The following is an 18,764-nucleotide window of genomic DNA, read 5'->3' as shown; positions in this document are numbered from 1 at the left end:
CTCTTTCCTTTCTCAGTGTAGAGTAATCAAGCTTAGGCATCTGCCTTCCAACTGGATGCACAGGGACATATGTTGAAAGAGAACGCTGTCAGAACATAGGCATTTCTGGTTGGCATGCAATTCCATCACTGTCACAACAGGCTGTTGAAAGAGGATCTCGGGTCTCATGACTTTCTATCAGCTCAGCAGACACCATATGGAATACTCAACCCCTGGCCTGTGTGGGTAAGAGAGTGGCAGCTGACTCCAAGGCCACAAAACAGCTCTCTTCTTTTGCAGAACACAGCTAGTGCTCTTACCGTGCTGCAGGGAGTTAGCTGCTGATATCTTTGCCCTTTTAGTTCATGCTACTATCAACCAGTTTAATTTTTTTCTCTTTCTCTTTTTTAATGTAACCTACTGATAGATTGTGGAGGGATTGTAATAAAAGCTGTATCAGTTCATCTTAACATTGTAAACACTCAGGGGATATATAAATAATTTTTTCATGAGAACATTATTCTATGCTAGGTAATATATCATTGTGATTTCAGATAATTTGGTGGGCTTTCCAGGTTGTTGCTTGGAAAATTGTCTGGCACATGTTTTGATCTGGTACTATGTATTGTAGACTCAATATGACAGAACCTTAAAAATATACATGCTTAAATGAAATTTTTTTTTTTCAAAAATTGAAGAGGTTTGGAAGGACATTTATCCTCAGAAGAAAACCAGAATTTTAGAAGTGGAAATGATTTGAAAATTCTCTTAAAATTCAGAAGCAAGCATGATGATTGTGATTTTCATCATGATCAACATTATGAGTACCACTGTAGCACTTCCCAATGGCCAGGAACCATGCCTCAAATTTTACAGGTGGCTTACAATTTTGATTCTTGCGAAACGTATGAGGTTGGCAGTGTACATTACCAGTAAAGAACATGGACTCCTGCCAGAGTGCCTGGGCTCCAATTCTGCCCCCACTGCCTACCAGGCATATGATCTTTTACAGATTGCTTACACGCTCTGTGTCTCAGTTTCCTTGTGTGTACCACGGCAGAAGTAATACTAATACCTATCCCATGAGATTATTGTGAAAAACAAATGAGGTAGTACATGAAACAGCTTATGATAGCTCTTAATTGTGGGTTTTCATAAATGGTAGTGCTAGGATTTAACTCCCCTCTCCCATGTTTATTTTATGCGAAAGCCAATGTGGAAGAATTACTGTTTAGAAAGCTTTTCTTTTTACACCATTCACCTTTTCTTTGCTGTGTTAATGAAGGAAAGTTGTATAGTCTTTGTTTGACTTTATGGTATGTGGTTACCTCATTTTATGAGCTTACACTATTTTAGAGGGAAATAGATGATAAGAGAAAAACATTCATGTAGCAATGATGGCCAGTCCATCAAAGTTTAAGAGGATAATAGAATCCTTATGATAACACTTAATTCTTAACTGATGAATGCCATCCTTGTTATGTCTCAAAAGGCATATTTAGAGTTATTCTTAGTTTCTGAGACTAACAGCTGACCTTTTTTAAATTAAAAATTTTTGATGTATTTTGAATATCATCACTTTAATAAACAAATAATTAGGTTGAAAAGCAAATAATAAAGACTTAATTTACTAGCTTTTTAGATAGATGACCTTATAGTCATATGGTAGGATGTGTTTCATTTTGTAGATTTGTGAATTTTTGATACTATTTATATTATTCAAACCATGATGTTTATAACTTTATATATAAGCTTGGAAATGCATATTGACTTTGACGTCACCCTAAGCTACAGTCTTCATGAGCGACCTGTCATTAAAGATTTGCCCTTAGTGATTTAACCTATATAAGTCTTGGTAAAGTGTTTAAAATAAACATAAGTATAGACTTTTAAGAGCTGAAGGCAATTAATATATATAATTTGGAAAAATAAATAAATAATACAATCAAACCCAAACAGCCAGCCAGAGTTGGATGGAAGGAATAATGTTTGTGTCTTTTGTTAAGAGCTAGACATGCTCTAGGTAACTAATCAAAAACCAATATATTTCAGTGTTTGAGTGCTAGAGCTTCTGGTTCCTGACAGTAAAGTCTTTATCAGAGATTTTTTTTTTCATAGTTTTCATTTGGCTTCCTTAAGTAATTTTTCCTTGTGACTATGAAAGGAGTGTGATTTTGTGAAAGGAATGATGATTCACACTGCAATTATGATGGAAAAAAGCTTTGATTTTAAAAAGTGGTCTCTTTCATTATAAAACTTCAGTTTGGCTTGTCATGCAGTCAGGGAGAGGTTGTGCATTTATCCCCAATGTAATTTGTTTCTTCTTTATAACTGCCAAGGTTATAAAGGTAAACCATTCAGATAAGTCGAAATTGGGTGCCGATCTCCAGACTTTTCTAAGCAGGAAATGTAGACGTAATCATGGTTGATGACTAAGAGAACAGAATGTCTTGAGCATTAAAACGCTTTTCATTCTCCCTCATTATTGTTTTTGAAAAACCTGAACAATGGAAAGTCACTGATTAGTTTTGGGGTGTATGTGTTTTCTTTTTTAGAGAATAGCTATTTCTCAGGTTGCGCAAGAGACAAAGAAATGAGAGATAGCACAGGGTAGTGCAAGAAGCCTGGCTAGTGGGTGTTACTTGGATTCTGATTTGCGATGTCCCTTGGGCCAATTACTTTAGTTCCCTAGATCTTGGTTTTTCTTATCCATGAAGTGACACAAGGGAGACAAGCTGGTTGGCCTCACGTCATTTGATACTCTCTGGAAAGTCTGTTATCTTCAAACTCTTAAGAACTGTACTGCCAATTTTCCTCTTTTTACATGACCATACTCCATTGGCCTGTGTAGTTAGAAACTGTGTGAGAGTTAGAGGTTGATCCTAAAATGAGATACCATAATGAGAGACTCTTGTGACTACACAGACTTTGGAGGAAATTTTGCTAGTGTTCATTGTCATTTTTCTCTTTTCCTTTTCCATTGTTAATTTTTGCCTACTTAAGTCTTTGGAACTTAGCTCAAATGCAATGATGGAAAATGTCAATATTTAAAAAAGATTAAGTTTTGTGTTTTATGTATTTTGTCTTCAATAATCATAATGTAGTAAAGTTGCACATTGGCAAACTGATTTTTAAAAGGTATTTAATAAACATTTATTAAAAACTTACTCTATATACAAATGTCTTAGGGATCATTTGCTTGCGAGAGCAAAACTTTTAAAAGTTTGTTTAAACAATTTGCAGTATTTCTTAGAAAAATACACTAGACTCTAACAACACTTGAGGACATGTGTTGAACACGGTTTCTGGACACAGGAACTGGCAAGGTCAAAACATTTATATTTTTGCCTCTCTGGGGCTTCATAGTATCTCTGTCGCTTTTAAAAAAATTAATATTGTTTTCCTTTTTCCTTCTTTGTAAAGACTGACTTGGGCCGGGCATAGTGGCTCATGCATACAATCCTAGCACCATGGAAGGCCGAGGTAAGATCACTTGAGCCTAGGAGTTCAAGGCCTGGCAACATAGAGAGACCCTGTGTTAGTCAGGGTTCTCTTAGAGGGAAAGAACTAATAGGAGATTATATATATGTATCTATATATCTATATCTAAAGGGGAGTTTATTAAGTATTAACTTACATGATCACAAGGTCCCACAATAGGCTGTCTGCAAGCTGAGGAGCAAGGAGTGCCAGTTGGAGTCCCCAGACTGAAGAGCTTGGAGTCTGATGTTCGAGGGCAGGAAGCATCCAGCATGGGAGAAAGATGTAGGCTGAGAGGCTAGGCTTGTCTCTCTTTTTCATGCTTTTCTGCCTGCTTTATATTCACTGGAAACTGATTAGATTGTGCCCACCAGATTAAGGGTGGATCTGCCTTCCCCAGCCCACTGACTCAAATGTTAATCTCTTTTGGCACCACCCACACAGACTCACCCAGGATTAATACTTTGTATCTTTCAATCCAATCAAGTTGACACTCAGTATTAACCATCACAGACCCCATCTCCTCAAAATTTTTTTTAAAAATGAGCTAGGCATGGTGGTGCACACCTGTGGTTTCAGCTACCTGGGAGGCTGGGGCAGGATCACTTGGGCCCAGGAATTCCTGCCTAGAGTAAACTATGATGACACCACTGCACTTCAGCCTGGGCCACAGTGTGAGACCTCATCCCTTTAAAATAAATAGAGAAAGAAAGATGGGGGCTGGGAGCAGTGGCTCACTCCTGTAATCCCAGCACTTCGGGAGGCTGAGGTGGGCGGATCATGAGGTCAAGAGTTCGAGACCTCTTGGCCAACGTGGTGAAACTCTGTCTCTACTAAGAATGCAAAAATTAGCTGGGTATGGTGGTGCATGCCTGTAACCGCAGCTATTCGGTAGGCTGAGGCATGAGAATCTCTTGAACCTGAGAGGCGGAGGTTGCAATGAGCTGGGAGCATGCCACTGCACTCCAGCCTGGGCAACAGAGCAAGACCCCATCTCGGAAAAAAAAACAAAAAAGATTGACTTTTTAAAATTTGACGAGTGCAGGACCACTTCAGTGCCAGTTTCATACAGCCTCTCTGTTCAGTTCTCTGCAAGAAATAGACAGAATTCCTGTGCCCTGACTCAAAATTTTCAAAAAAGAGACTTGTTGGCCCAGCATGGATTAGCTTACATCTTGGTGGGGAAGTCATACAAATAAAAAGATAATTTCACTGAGGATGGCAAGTGCAATGCTTGAAGTATGTACACAGAATTATGAGATCACAGGAGAGGTGACCTTAGCCAGCTTGGGAAGTTTGGCTCAAGCTGAGTCTTAACAGATGAGACAATGATAGTATCTCCAGGCAGAAAGCATAGCTTGGGCAGAGACACAGAGGTGTGCAACTGCAGAATGCCTCTCTCTCTCTGTGTATGTGTGTGTGTGTGTGTACATGAATGCGTGCAACTATGAGCAAGCAGCTCAGGGCATGAGCAGTGGGAGATGAGGTTGGGAAGGGTAGGCAGGAGTCCTGTCATGAAGGAACTTGGGAGTGAAGTCAGAGGACTTTGACCCCTGGAGATGAAGGTTTACAGGGCAGTGGCAAGCTCATCTGAATTAGATTCCTATGTAGGAAAGTCTGATCACGAGGCCTGATGCAACATATGATTTAAGTGTGAAGATAAGAAAATTCAAAGCATTTGATATTGTTATATTTTTGAGAATGATAAAATGATATTTCTGAGATTTTTATCATAATTGAATCCCGCATATTTGTGAAAGCTCAGTATTTTGTTTGTTGAGGTTGTCTCATATAAAAATTTCTTTACCCATTTTTATAGTTTTGTAGAGTGTTCACATTTAAGAAAAGGTAACAGGAGCCTTGAGTGCATTTGTTTTCTTAGCCCATGATAGAGGGAAACTGTGTCATGTATCCATACATGTTAATTGGCTTGAGCCTTCTCAATTGATGATTGTCTTCTAAAGAACAGAAAATAATGGAAACTTCACAGGGTTGACAATCCATTTCTATTATTCATTCAGTTTGCTGAGTTTATCATTTTGATTTCCGGTTTCTGACTAAAATCATCATTTTTTTCTTATGTGTGTTGTGTCCAAGCAGCTGTTGTATTTTGTACTAGAGCAGATAATTGCTTTTCTTCTTGGCAAAGAAAATGAGCAGATGTGAAGTAAATATCTTTTTCTGGCTTGATCAATTGGAAGCTCTGCAGCCTAATATTGACTGCATTTTCCTAAGTGATGTAGCAAGTGCAGCTCAATGTGAGACTATAGCTGTTAACTGCCAGGCATTCACTTTGGCCAGACTCTTAGTTTTAGAGCTTCAATAGTGAGAAACAAAGTTCGGTATTCACGTAAGGAAAATAGTATGTTGACTAGAAGGGCCCTGTTGATGGAATTTTTCCCAAAAAATGATTTTAGAATTTCCTTCCTTGTTTACATTTAACAATAAGGAAGCTGTGGCGTGCTCAGGGATTAGGTACATGGATTCTGGAGTCACATAAAATGGGTTTAAGTCCAAGATTTTTCATTTAGTAGCAGTAAAAAGTTGAATTAACTGATTTCCAGGTCTATAAAATAAGAATAATTAGTAATAATTATTGTAAATGATGTGACATATGTGAAGACTCTAGCATGGGGCCCAGTACAACACAAGCACCCAATTGGCACTTACTGTTGTACCCTAATCTGAAGATAGTCAGTCTTCTACAGTTGGAGAAGAAAGGGAGTGGATAATAAGTTGCCTGTTCAGTAAATCTGTGGTGCTACTTTTCAGTGTCTTGCAAGATTGGCTTCATTATTCATGATCTCTTTCCCATTGGAAAGGAAAAGGGAGTCCCTGTGGAATGCCTATTGTAAGCCAGGAGGTAAACAGCGTGCAGCTCATTAACTGTCACCACGCCCTTGGGAAGTAGGTCTTCCTACATGTGGAAAGCAAGGCTCCGGGAGCTCATATCATTCGCTCAGCAGGACACAGCTGGAGAGTGGAAGACCCAGGATGTGAACCCACATCCATCTGATTCCACCATCTAGGCTGCCCCAGGCTGTAGAGGTCAAGCCCTTATGGTGTTTTCTGGAGACATTTAGGAGCAACTTCTAGAAAGAACTGTTGAGAAAGGCAGAAGTCTCCTGGGAGCAGGAATCTGTTTCCCCTTTTCCCTGAGTGGCTTCCCCCCTCCCGCCGCCCTTTTTTTATTTTTATTTTTTATTTTTTTGACGGAGTTTCACTCTTGTTGCCCAGGCTGGAGTGCAATGGCGCGATCTGGGCTCACCGCAACCCCCGCCTCCCAGGTTCAAGTGATTCTCCTCAGCCTACCAAGTAGCTGGGATTACAGGCATGCGCCACCAGGCCCAGCTAATTTCGTATTTTTAGTAGAGACGGGGTTTCTCCACGTTGGTCAGGCTGGTCTTGAATTCCGGACCTCAAGTGATCCGCCCGCCTCAGCTTCCCAAAGTGCTGGGATTACAGGCGTGAGCCACCATGCCCGGCCACCCCTGTTTTGCATGTTGGGTGCTGCTGCTCTGCCTGGCTCTGAGCCATGGCATCATCGTGTTGGAGAGAAATAGGATGTCTCTGTTCAGAGCACCCGGCTCAGCACTTTTCAGAAAGTCATTCTTCACCTTAAAGTGAAATGTCGGGTGCGACGTGTCACATTTCATCTGTAAGCAGTCTTTAAATACAATTTTTGAAAAGCTCTCTGACGCAGCAGTGAACTAGCTGTTGCGGGATAGAGGCAATCCTGGGCTCCTGATTATTCTGTCTGCTGAATGTTACGTTGGATGGTTGTGCTGCTCTTCGTGGAACTGCTTTACGTGTGGCATTTCTGAGACATGGATTGTGTGTGTTATGTGTGTATCTGGTTAAGTATCACTTTGTGGACATTTCAAAGTTAATGCATCTCTGTGCAAGCTTTTGCTGTGGGCATGCCAGCACAGTGTTGCACGTAGTCATGGTGGCGCACTAGTGAGTCACTAGCTTTTTATTTTTGTTTTTTAAGAGAGAGAATTTAGGCCGGGCCTGGTGGCTTACGCCTGTAATCCCAGCACTTTGGGAGGCCGAGGTGGGCGGATCACAAGGTCAGGAGTTTAAGACCAGCCTGGCCAACATGGCAAAACCCTGTCTCTACTAAAAATACAAAAATTAGCCGGGCGTGGTGGTGGGCACCTGTAATCCCCCCTACTCAGGAGGCTGAGGCAGGAGAATCACTTGAACCTGGGAGACGGAGGTTGCAGTGAGCCCAGATCGCGCCACTGCACTCCAGCCTGGGCGACCAAATAAGACTCTGTCTTAAAAAAAAGAGAGAGAGAGAGAATTTAAGTAAGGAAAAGGTTACTTTTCTTTATTTCTCCTTTTTTTGTTCTGAATAAATTTAAGTTATTCAGGGGAGTATGAAAAAATAATGTGATAAACATCCATATTCCTATTGAGTCATACTTTTTCCGGTCCTTTTTTTTTTTTTTTTTTTGGCTTTACCTAAGGAGTGAAACTACGGGTGGAGCTCAAGTCTACCTTAACATAGCCTTTGGTCCCATTGCCTTTGCTGTCTCCTCAGGGGCAATGCCTGCCCTGGGCTTTCTGTATATTGGCTGCTTTCTGAGCCCATAACGATCTCATGTAAATTATGCTTCACCCTTAGTTAATCTGGTCATACAGTTGATTTCCCCAGAGAGAATGGACTGGACGATCTATGTGGCCAGGAAGAAAATGTACCCACAGGAATCCTCAGGTGTCATCTTGTCTTAATCTCCTCAACCTACAGTCTGTAATAGACCCGAGGAGACTCTACAAATCCGAAGTAACCCAGAGAGAACTACTTTTCCCAAGCCCCAAATTATGCAAGGCTGACTCAGAGATTTGTCTTTTTTGTTCGTACATTGTTTTCACCTACGGCAACACCTGCTACACGGTTGATGCTTAGCTGGAGGTAGGTGGATGTGGCCCTCCCAACCTCCTACTTGGTCCGGAAGCTGCATCTGCACCAACAGTGACTCTTAGCAATACCCAATGTACATTGTGAGGCTTTGAACTCAAGTTAAAAATGCAGTCTTCCTTCCGTGCCTGTCAACATTGATGCTAGAGTATTTTATGAAATGGCCCTGCTTCAGTGAGTATACTTTCACAAGAATTTATTAAACACCTATTACATAATGAGGTAATAGTTTTACTGTATATAATCCTGGATTCCAATAAATAATTCTGCAGAATATATTGAGCATAATTAGTAATACAGCTGACATTTATTGAGTGACTACTATATTTGCCTACTCTTTTCAACACTTTATGTAAATTAACTCACTTAATCCTTATAACGACTCTATGTGCTTGGTGCCATTCTTATCTGCATTTTGCAACTTCAGTAAGGGAGCCATGGGGAGGATAAGTAATTTGCCCTGCAAAAATGCAGCTAATAATGGAGAACCTGGAAATCAGGCCCCTGCAGCATGGCTCCTGAGTCTTAATTCACTCTGTTTTTCCTGTGCAAGCAGAAAGCTTGTTTTGATGGGAAATCTAATAACTTTAAAAAGTGATCAGTTTAAGGATAGCACCTACTTAAAGAATGCAGAGGACTCTGTGTCTTCATGCAGGTCTATATGCTGAATGTGTGTTGCTGTTTTCTTCTATCATGTGCTTTACCTCTGCTCACCTAATCCAGGTTCAGCTTAGTTCTGCGGTTGAATGTGAACACGGTTGGCATATGCTTAGTTGTTTAATGGTTAGATATTTTTAACTAGTGTAGAAGAAGCTAACGCTTGTAACAGAAGCCAGATACTAGTGAGAAGCAGAGTTCACACACACAGATTCAGCACGTTATGTTCTGACTATATTTATACAGAGTTGGAATAGATCCAGCAGTCCCAGGCAATCACTTTAATCAGTTAAAAGTGGCAATAGATGGTCTTGAAGCCGAAGGAGTCATGCCTCCTGGAAATATTTACCGTAACAGCTTCTGTTCCAAAAAGGAAAAGAAGAAAATAAAAACTCTAAATAACCAACTACTGAAATTAAAGCAAAATTAAGTTATTATTTTAAATGAGCTTTTTGAAAAATCGCTAGTGTGGCAGCCCAATAGGAAAGGCATGAGAAATGTGGTATATTCTTAAAGTATTTTGCTCAGGTATTTTAAAAATATGATTCTATATGTGGATCTATCTGTGTCTATATATAGGCATCCTCCGTTTGGTTTGTAGAACTGTCAAAATAACTTATGATCGTCTGGCTTATGGACACAGGTTATCCACCTGCTTACTGCAGCAGCCCAAAGGCAGAGCATGCCAAATGGTGGGACATGCAGGGAGAAGGACTGGTATCCGGGAAGGGTCAGGAGTTCATCCATATTAGGAGTTCTTGTGTCTCCTAGAACCCACTTGAAAAAATCAGAGCATACCAGTTATTCTTCAGGTTAGTAAATGCGTGTGACCTTTATTAGAGACAGGCAAACTCAGCAGGGTATTTCAGGAGAAATAAATTATCCCTGTGAATAATTTGTACTTTCCTGGAAATTAAGAGACATGTGGAAATGTAAGAAGACAAAAGGCAGTATTGAATTAGGAAAAAGAGAATCATAGTTTAAGTAGATACCTTTTGTCTGCTCAGTGGGAAAGCAGTGTGCCAACATCTATTTTAGGACACATTCTGTACCTGGGCAAAGTAAAAGAGAATGGGGAGTATTGCATTATGAAAAGGCACAAAGACCTAAGCAGTAATATCAGAAGCAAGACATTTTCCCCAGTAAAGTCTTGGATGTAGGTCTTCAAAGAAAAACAGATAAACAACTTCAAGTGCATTAATATGTTGTGGAAACTGCAATGAAAAAATAATGGCCTTGCATTGTCAAAGCAAAGACATGGGAAGCTTAGCAAGTAAAACAATAAAATGAGCAGAGCGATATTGAAACAGGTGAAGAAAAGAGCATGATGTGTTGAGTTCAGAAAAATTATTGATGGCACAGAAATGGAGAGAAAGACTGATGAGTGAATAGAGAAGTAGCTCATAAGAGATTCAAGCTCACACTGAGGCATAAAGCCAACCTGACTGCAAATTTTGTCAGGTTGCAGCTAGGAGAGTGACAAGGCAGAATGTGTTCAGAAGATGGAAATTTTTATCAAAAGCTGTTAATTCTAGAAGGAATATTGGAGATAAGAGTGTGGTGAACAGCTGGCACTTTAGCCTGACTTGTATAGCCTCCCTATGTCACTAAAATGGCTGTCAGCTCTTTGGTGTTAGGCATAAAAATAATGTGATAATAAGTGAACAACTTTTTAGAGGATGTTAAGGATTTCCCTTCATTATGGCTTTTATGTTAACCAAGGGCATTCTCATAGGTGATTAAGTCACATCAGGTAGGCCCTAGGCCTGGGTCTGACCCACGCAGTTACCCCCTCAGGATTCTGAGAAGGTGAGAAAGGAGGACGTGAAGGAGGCTCTGTGGAGCCAGACTGCCTACTTCCGCCACCCACACCATCTGTGACTCAGCAAGTTACTCAACCTTTCTAGACCTCAGTTTCCTTATGGGCAAAATGAGACTAATGTAACATCTCTCTCATAGGATTGTTATGATGATTAAAGCAGGTAATGCCCAGGGCTTGACATCTCATGTTCCATATTTTGCATGGGAGAAAATTGAGTTCAGAGAAAAGAACTTGTCAAAAGTAACACATGCAGTCACTATTTGAATCCAGGTCTTTCTTGAGCCAAGTCCACGTTCACTGTACTGGGAAGCTCAGTATATATAGGAGAAGGTACTGGAACATTGTTGGAAACCTACAGCTGAGTATAGAGGTGAGAGGCTTTATCCTGGAGGCCCTCGAGCATAATGAAATTATGTGGATAAGAGACCAGTTCCAATCTGTGTTGTTGGACTGACTTTAAATGGCATGAGAAGCCTGCATAAAGGGGATGTGGGGAGTGGCCTCCTCCCTCTGGACAGGGTGATGGGCGTTGTTTGCCAGAAGAGTGATTTGTTATGTCACTCTGCACCAAGAGCCCTTTAATGATGCCACAAGGACACCCAGACCCCTCAGCATGGCTAATAATAGGGCAGACTGTAATTTTTTTTAAATCCCGTACTATATGCTAATCACTATGATAAATGTTTTGCAGTTTAATACATAAAGAGTCTCTTTTGAGATCAGTGCTGTTATTAACATTTTGTGGATATGGAAATCCAGGCTAGTACATAGCGGGACCAGGTCTACAATGGGATTTCTCTGGCCTTTAAGGCAATCTCTGAACCATGCTTTTATGGTGTCTTTCTCTTGGTGTTCATAAGCTGATTGGCTTCCAGCCCATCTGATTATCCTCATCTCCCAATACTTTCCTACTGGAAGGGCTTACTGTAGCCAAATGTCTCTGCTCACTCCCACTGAAATATACATTGTGTTTCTGGTTGCCATGGTTTTTCCTTTCTTGTCATCTACCTCTGTACTTTCACCTTTTCCACTCACTCAGTAACTTCTTCCTGTGTAAAGTCAGTCCTTTGAGTACTCTTTCCTGAGCACCAGTCTAGTCTGGTATCGCCTTATCCTGTGGCCCAGTGAATTTAGTATTGCTTTACTGATTTTGCAATTATCATTTGCTACCATGTATTGGTAACCTTTATTATGTGTGCCCTTTTCAAAAAGATTTTGAAGTCTTTCTAGGGTCTTTTAAAAAAAAGTTACAACAATGCTTAATACTGTGTATTTTACATAATTTATATGGAATAAATATTTAATTGACTAATTTCAGGAAAAGAATATTCTGATCAAAAGAAATAATCATAATACATATCTTTGTTTATAGGAATGGGAGTAAAGTTGCTTGAATATTATAGGAGAGAAAAAGGAATGAGCAGAAGAAAACAGTAGCCAAGAAAAACTGTATAGTAATGGAAAGAATACAGAACCATATGGGAATTCATATTCTGGCTTGGAAGAATTAGGTCAGTTGCTGCCAAAAATCTTTTAAGTGTGTAATAAAAAGTGGTAGCTACAATAACTGGAAAAATCTGTGTACATTTGGATAGCTGTATCGCAGCATTTCATTTCCTTTTTTTGTATTTAAATGGATCCAAAGTGTAAATTTTTTTATATATTGATCTACTTGCTTATCGAGTTATTTATATCCTACTGCTCATGGTCATTGCCAAGGTCTGATTGCAAAAATTCAAAAAATTGCAACCTCAAGCATAAATGGGATAAAAAGGAGCAGACAGTTCCTGAACAGTTTCTTTTCTTCTAAGAGCTTCAAGTTTACTCTCTACTGCTTTGCTGTTACGTTGTTTAAAATCCAATTTGCGGCCGTGCATTGTGGGCATATAATTCCAGCACTGTGGGAGGCCAAGGCAGGTGAATCACTTGAGAACAGAGTTTGAGATCAGCCTGGCCAATATGATGAAACGCCGTCTCTACTAAAGATACAGAAATTAGCCGGGCATGGTGGCAGACATCTGTAATCCCAGCTCCTCTGGAGGCTGAGGTAGGAGAATCACTTGAATCCAGGAGGCGGAGGTTGCAGTGAGCCTAGATTGCACCACTGCACTCCAGCCTTTTTATATAAATAAATAAACCAAATAAAATCCACTTTGCTAGACTTTTAGATTATTATCAGCCCATTTATTTGCTGAATTAAATTCTCTTTTAGTAAAAACGAGTTCACTGACAGAAAACTGCAGAAAATAGATTTTTGGTTTTTTGTTCATTTGACTGCATGCCTTCCTCCAAGTTCCAATTCATGATGTTCCTCAAGAATATGTAGTACCCACTCCTGTTCAATTTCTTGTTAATGGAATGATCCTTGCAAGGGAACCTGCTGTGACTTGCATAAAACAGGGATTTAAAAAAGTTCCTGCTTCATATTAACAAACACTAACAAAAATACCAACAATGTGAGGGCCTTTTGAACAAATACTGAATGGCATTTCCCATTCTGATTCCTTCCCGTTTTATACCCTAGCTGAATTAGTACTATGTTGAGAGTGAAGACTTTGGAAGCTAACAGCTGTTATTATTACTGGGTTTCCTGGCTTTTATTCTAATTAGGAACAGCTGAAGAAAGAGCAGGTGAAATCTTTGTTGGCCTCAGGAAATAATTAAATTGTCTTAGTGCTCGTAGCCACCATCCTCGCTGCAGATGACAATGCTGTCATCCGGTGATCCTTCTCAGGGATGGTTCTAAATGTAGATTCTCTGCTTGCTTGCAGTAAATCTGACTTTTGGAGAAGGAAAAGCGGGAGAGAAGAATCAATAGCATCTCCTGGTCTCTAGGCATGGGTATTATTTTGATGAAACTTTCAAGCAGGTGTGGAAAGATGACCTTGCAAAGCCCAAACTCAGAATTTTAAGTGACACATATTCCTAATAAGACATTTAGCTTAACCTGTTTGCCTCCTAAGAAATGTGGCTGTTTTCCAGGAAATTCATCTTTTAAAAAAGCACAAGCATGAATATTCACCTGTGGTGTAGTTCTTTGGCAGCTGGTGGGAATTAGGCTGCACGCAGTGGTTTGATCTGTCAGAAAAGCCACAAAGCTCACCTTCCTGTGTTTATTTTTTAAATCTCACTTTGTCAGGTAAAATATTTTCAGAGTCCTTGAGTTTGTTAAATGAAAATGAGTAGATTTGGATCCACATCTATATGCTGCTTGTTTCAACTGCACCCTTCTGCAAAGGCTCAGAGTCACTTGTGTGGCTTACTTCCCCCCATCCCTTGTTCTCGTTGGCATGTCCGCTATATGTAATCAGCAGGCTCTTGCTGAACCCCATAGTAAGCACTTCTGATTCAGGGTTGAGGAAAAGTTTTAATGAGAAGAGGAAATTATATTTATCCCTTTAGAAGGGCATCTGCTCTGTACCACACACAGTGTTAAGTCTGAAGATGAATTCCAAGAGTGCAGGGATCTTGTCCTTTTTATTTTACTTTCGTGTCCTCAGCACCTAGAATAGTATCTGGCACATAGTACACGTGCATAAAATACTTCTTGGGTGAATGGAAGGAGACATAGTGACCCACAAGAGGAAAGAGATGGCACATTCAAATTAGGATCATTGGAGGGGGATTATCTACAAAGGGACTGTTTACACCAGTGAGGCCGTAACCCCATGGAAGTCACAGCAGAGGAACTGTTATCACCCATAACCTGGGAAGCAAGAGTCCTGCAGAAGTCATTGTGATGGGAACCTTTGGTCCAGATGCCCTTGTGAAGGGATAAAGTCACCAGTCAGCCTGAGGTGACCTAGCAGTGAGGGAGTCTGGGTGAGAAACACCCTGAATTCTCTTCCTCCTGTCCTCTGCTCTTGGGCCAGGTTCCCCCTCGTGCATGAAACTAGAAAGCAGAAGGTAGGGAAGTTTATTGATGTGACCACACGGCTGGCCTTCTGATGAGAAGCAGAGTGGAGACTGCATCTGGAGCACAAACTGGAGAGATCCAGAATACACAGGAAATTCTCTGCCTCCAAGGAGCTCCCAATCTAGTAGGGAGACAGTGGAGTTAGCAGATATTCCAACATAATTTGAACAATAGTGACAAATTATTGAGAACGCTCACAAGAACCCTATAAGATAGGTTATTGTGATGATTTTACAGAGGGAAGCTGAGAGACGGAGAGTTTAAGGCATTTGCCTAGGTCACACAGTTGGGAAGTAAAGGGGTCGAGATTTGAACTTGGGAGTTTGTCTCCAGAGTCTGTGCTTTGCTGGATTGGAAGAGTTAACCTGTGGTTTAGAGCAGTGCTTTTTTTTTTTTTTTTTTTGGAGATGGAGTCTTGCACTGTCACCAGGGATGGAGTGCAGTGGTGTGATCTCAGTTCACTGCAACCCCTGCCTCCTGGGTTCAAGTGATTCTCCTGCCTCAGCCTCCCTAGTAGCTGGGGTTACAGGCACCAGCCCCCACACCCAGGTAATTTTTTTTTTTTTTTGTAGGACGGCGGTTTCATTATGTTGGCCAGGCTGGTCTCAAACTCCTGACCTCGTGATCCACCTCCCTTGGCCTCCCAAAGTGCTGAGATTACAGGCGTAAGCCACTGCGCCTTGCCAGAGCAGTGCTTTTTAAGCCTTCACGTTTTTGGGAATTTTCTGGGGATGTTGTTTCAAAATAATTCCTGGTTCAGCGGTCATGAGGCAGGTCTGAGAGTCAGCGTTTCTACCAAATGCTGCTCATCTGCTTTGTGTGACGAGGGATAGAGGACTTAGGTTAGAGACGTGGGGTCTGTGTCCTAAGGATAAGCTTCTGGGTAGTCATTCCTTTCCCTGACTTGTGAAATGAGCAAGTTGGGTGATTTTTAAGGTCTGTTCGAGCTTGTACAACCCTGCACTCCCTGGCTTCCCACATGTGGGCAGTTTGCTTTAGCTGCCATTGGCGTTTCCTTGGCCATGACTGTCCAGGAGGCTCCAGAGAGAGAAGCTGGTTTGCGTGGCCTCCTCCTCCCCACGTTCTGAATTCAGATCACAGCTCCTGAGCCTCTGGACTGACAGGATGTACTCTGCTGTCAGCTGTTTCCTTCCAACTCTGAGATCTCCCAGCATCTGGCTCCGCTCCCTTCTGCCCCATGGATCCTCACTCCCTGTCACAGAGGATTAGGGTGCTGGCTTTAACAACGGAGCCTGATGCTTAAGATACTACATTATGTCATTTATTTTGCAAACTGTAATCTCCGCCAAAAGTTGTAATATTGCTGTGCATCACAATAAAGCTCCTACTTTTTCGAAAGGGGTTTCTACTGCTATTGGGCGCGCAGAAGATACTTAATGTTGTGTGGCCAGTCGTTGCTTCGCTTTAAACTCCTAATTCTTAAATTAGCTGGGCACAGTGGTGCACACTTGTAGTCCCAGCTACTCGGGAAGCTGAGGTGGGAGGATAGCTGAGCTCAGGAGTTCAAGGCTGCAGTGAGCTATGATTGTGGCAGTGCACTCTAGCCTGGTCAATAGTGAGACCCTGTCTTGAAAACAAAACAAAACAAAACAAAAAACTGCTACAAATTCATTATCCTTTTGCAACAACTGCAGAATTGAGTGCCTGTGAATGGGAAGGAAAACAATAAATCCTCTTAATATTTGACATTCAAAATAAATTTCAGGGCCAGGCACGGTGGCTCACGCCTGTAATTCCAGCACTTTGGGAGGCTGAGGCGGGCAGATCACGAGGTCAGGAGATTGAGACCATCCTGGTTAACACAGTGAAAACCCGTCTCTACTGAAAATACAAAAAATTAGCCAGGCGTGGTGGTGGGTGCCTGTAGTCCCAGCTACTTGAGAGGCTGAGGCAGGAGAATGGTGTGAACCCAGGAGGCGGAGCTTGCAGTGAGCCAAGATAGCGCCACTGCACTCCAGCCTGGGCAACAGAGCAAGACTCCGTCTCAAAAAAATAAATAAATAAAAATAAAAATAAATAAATAAATACATTTCAGGGTTTTGGTCCCCCAAGTTCCCACACTTTCTCTCTGTGAGTTGGGGGCTCCTGCATCACTGTAATCCATAGCTGTACCTGCAGTATGCAAAATCTTTGACTCTATTTCAGAAAATCAGTCTGGGACCACAATACTGAGCCTTTCTTTGTCTTTTTCTTTTTGCTTTGATCATACAGTGCTATAGTACAGACTCAATAAATCACACATTGAATCTTACCAAATACAGAGAAGCTGAGACATTGTGTGTTATGGTTTTTATGCTGCATTTTGACATTTTGGGCTATTTATTTAATAATTGCATTTGAAGTTGCTCTCAGCCTCATCAGGACAGAGCAGCAGAGTTATACCCCTGCTGTGCTCAGCAGTGCATCCTGGAAGATTGTGGAGAAGGTTGTTAGCTGTCCTGTTTTCCTGTGTACATAATTCATTATCTCTTAACTACATCTAGTGCTACTTAAAAGTCGTGTAGATATTTGGAAGGGATAATCTTTTATGTTTACATTTAATTTCTTAATCTAAGTAAGTCTTCGGAACTTTAGGATAATCTCTAGATTGATGGTATTGCCTTGGCCTTCTGATTTTTTTCTGGTCTGTTTTCAGTGGCTGGAGAGCACCATGTTGGTATGGCCAGCATTTAACCAGGGATGGAATTTTTGGATTGTTAAAGGGTAAGGGATGCAATAGTGTCAGGTGTTATTATAAAGGTATAATGAGATTGGAGAGAAGACAGATCTAATTCCCAAACAACTGAAGAGAGTCTAGGGTTGGTTGCCCTCCTGGAGAAAGGCAGTCGGTCTGTACCTCTGTTTATATGCTTGTCTTGGCTACATGCCCTGTTTCCTCTTGAGCTCACAGAATCAGACGTAGATTGAAAAGGACTTTACTAAAAATCTAGGGAGAGCTTCTCTGGGGTTATATTAAGATTGGGAGATGGCTTGGAATCTCTGTAACTAACAGAGTAAATATTGTATTTAAATGTCCCCGATGTCTATAAAGAGCAGCTTTCATGTTAATTGCTATTGTCTTAGAGTAAAGAAAGATATCAAATACAGCTAGTGAGCTGGTTTGAGACATTGCACAGGCAGAAACGAGGGCAGAAATCTAGAATGATTTCATGAGACAGGCTGCTTCCCACCCCCCTCCTTAATTCTGTGCATCTCTGGCTCAGTAGCCTAGCAGCGCAGGGTGGTGTCCCCTGGGACTGACTGCATTGTTTTTTCCCAGAGCAATGCTAGATGAACCAGAACACGGTGTATGTTTTTAAATTCTGCTCAGGCCAAATACTTGGCAACCAACTCAGTCAGGCTGTGGAATCCTGGGCTTAGGTGGCTCTGTATATAAAGGCCTGGATCTTTAAACAGTTAGGAGAAGCCGGAATTCTTCTCCTTCCAGCAGGCAGTCTGTCTTTAGGATTAGAATGTACTTCTTTGCAGTAGCATTAGTAGAGAGAAAAAATAAAGTGTTGAATTTGAATATTGAGTTTTAGCAATTAGATGTCTTAAATGTTATTGTTTTTTCTCAGGAAGTCCGCTCCAGTGATGACTGTGAAATCTTATTTATAGAAGATTGAATGTTGTAGCAGATGATAGACCATTGTGAAATAGCAGATCAAATAAACGTTTTTCCTGAAATGTCAAAAACTTCATTACTGGAGCATCTTGTCTCCATAGAGCATGTAATTAATTATGAACCAGGAGTAAATAATATATTTTACAGGACTTTTGTCATTTATCTGGGTGCCATGTTTTATAAACACAATTATTCACTAGTAGTCTTTCAATTCTGCCTTTATTACATGATGATCTGCTAATTCAGAATGAGAAATTTCCACATTAAGTACTTGGCAGGACTGGGTGTGGTAGCTCATGCCTATAATCCCAGCTACTTGGGAGGCTGACACAGGAGAATCACTTGAACCTGGGAGGCT

General features: G+C 41.0%; 1 protein-coding gene across 9 annotated transcripts in view, besides 1 other annotated feature; it reads left to right on the top strand.

Annotated features, from left to right (window-relative positions):
* TMTC1 (transmembrane O-mannosyltransferase targeting cadherins 1) overlaps window positions 1–18,764 on the top strand; it is a 283,947-nt gene that overhangs the window by 40,577 nt on the left and 224,606 nt on the right. The window lies entirely within an intron of this gene.
* Window positions 10,295–11,494: an enhancer, noted in NCBI's record as "CDK7 strongly-dependent group 2 enhancer chr12:29885622-29886821 (GRCh37/hg19 assembly coordinates)". NCBI's record gives its function as "activates an origin of replication core promoter dependent on BRD2, BRD4, P300/CBP, MED14 and CDK7 cofactors, with strong dependence on CDK7, by STARR-seq in HCT116 cells {active_cell/tissue: HCT116}" and the evidence as "EXISTENCE:reporter gene assay evidence [ECO:0000049][PMID:35650434]".

Source organism: Homo sapiens, chromosome 12 (genome assembly GCF_000001405.40).
Source record: "Homo sapiens chromosome 12, GRCh38.p14 Primary Assembly".
Lineage (NCBI taxonomy): Eukaryota > Metazoa > Chordata > Mammalia > Primates > Hominidae > Homo > Homo sapiens.
The sequence above is the reverse complement of the archived record's forward strand: the minus strand, read 5'-3'. Positions and strand labels throughout refer to the sequence as shown.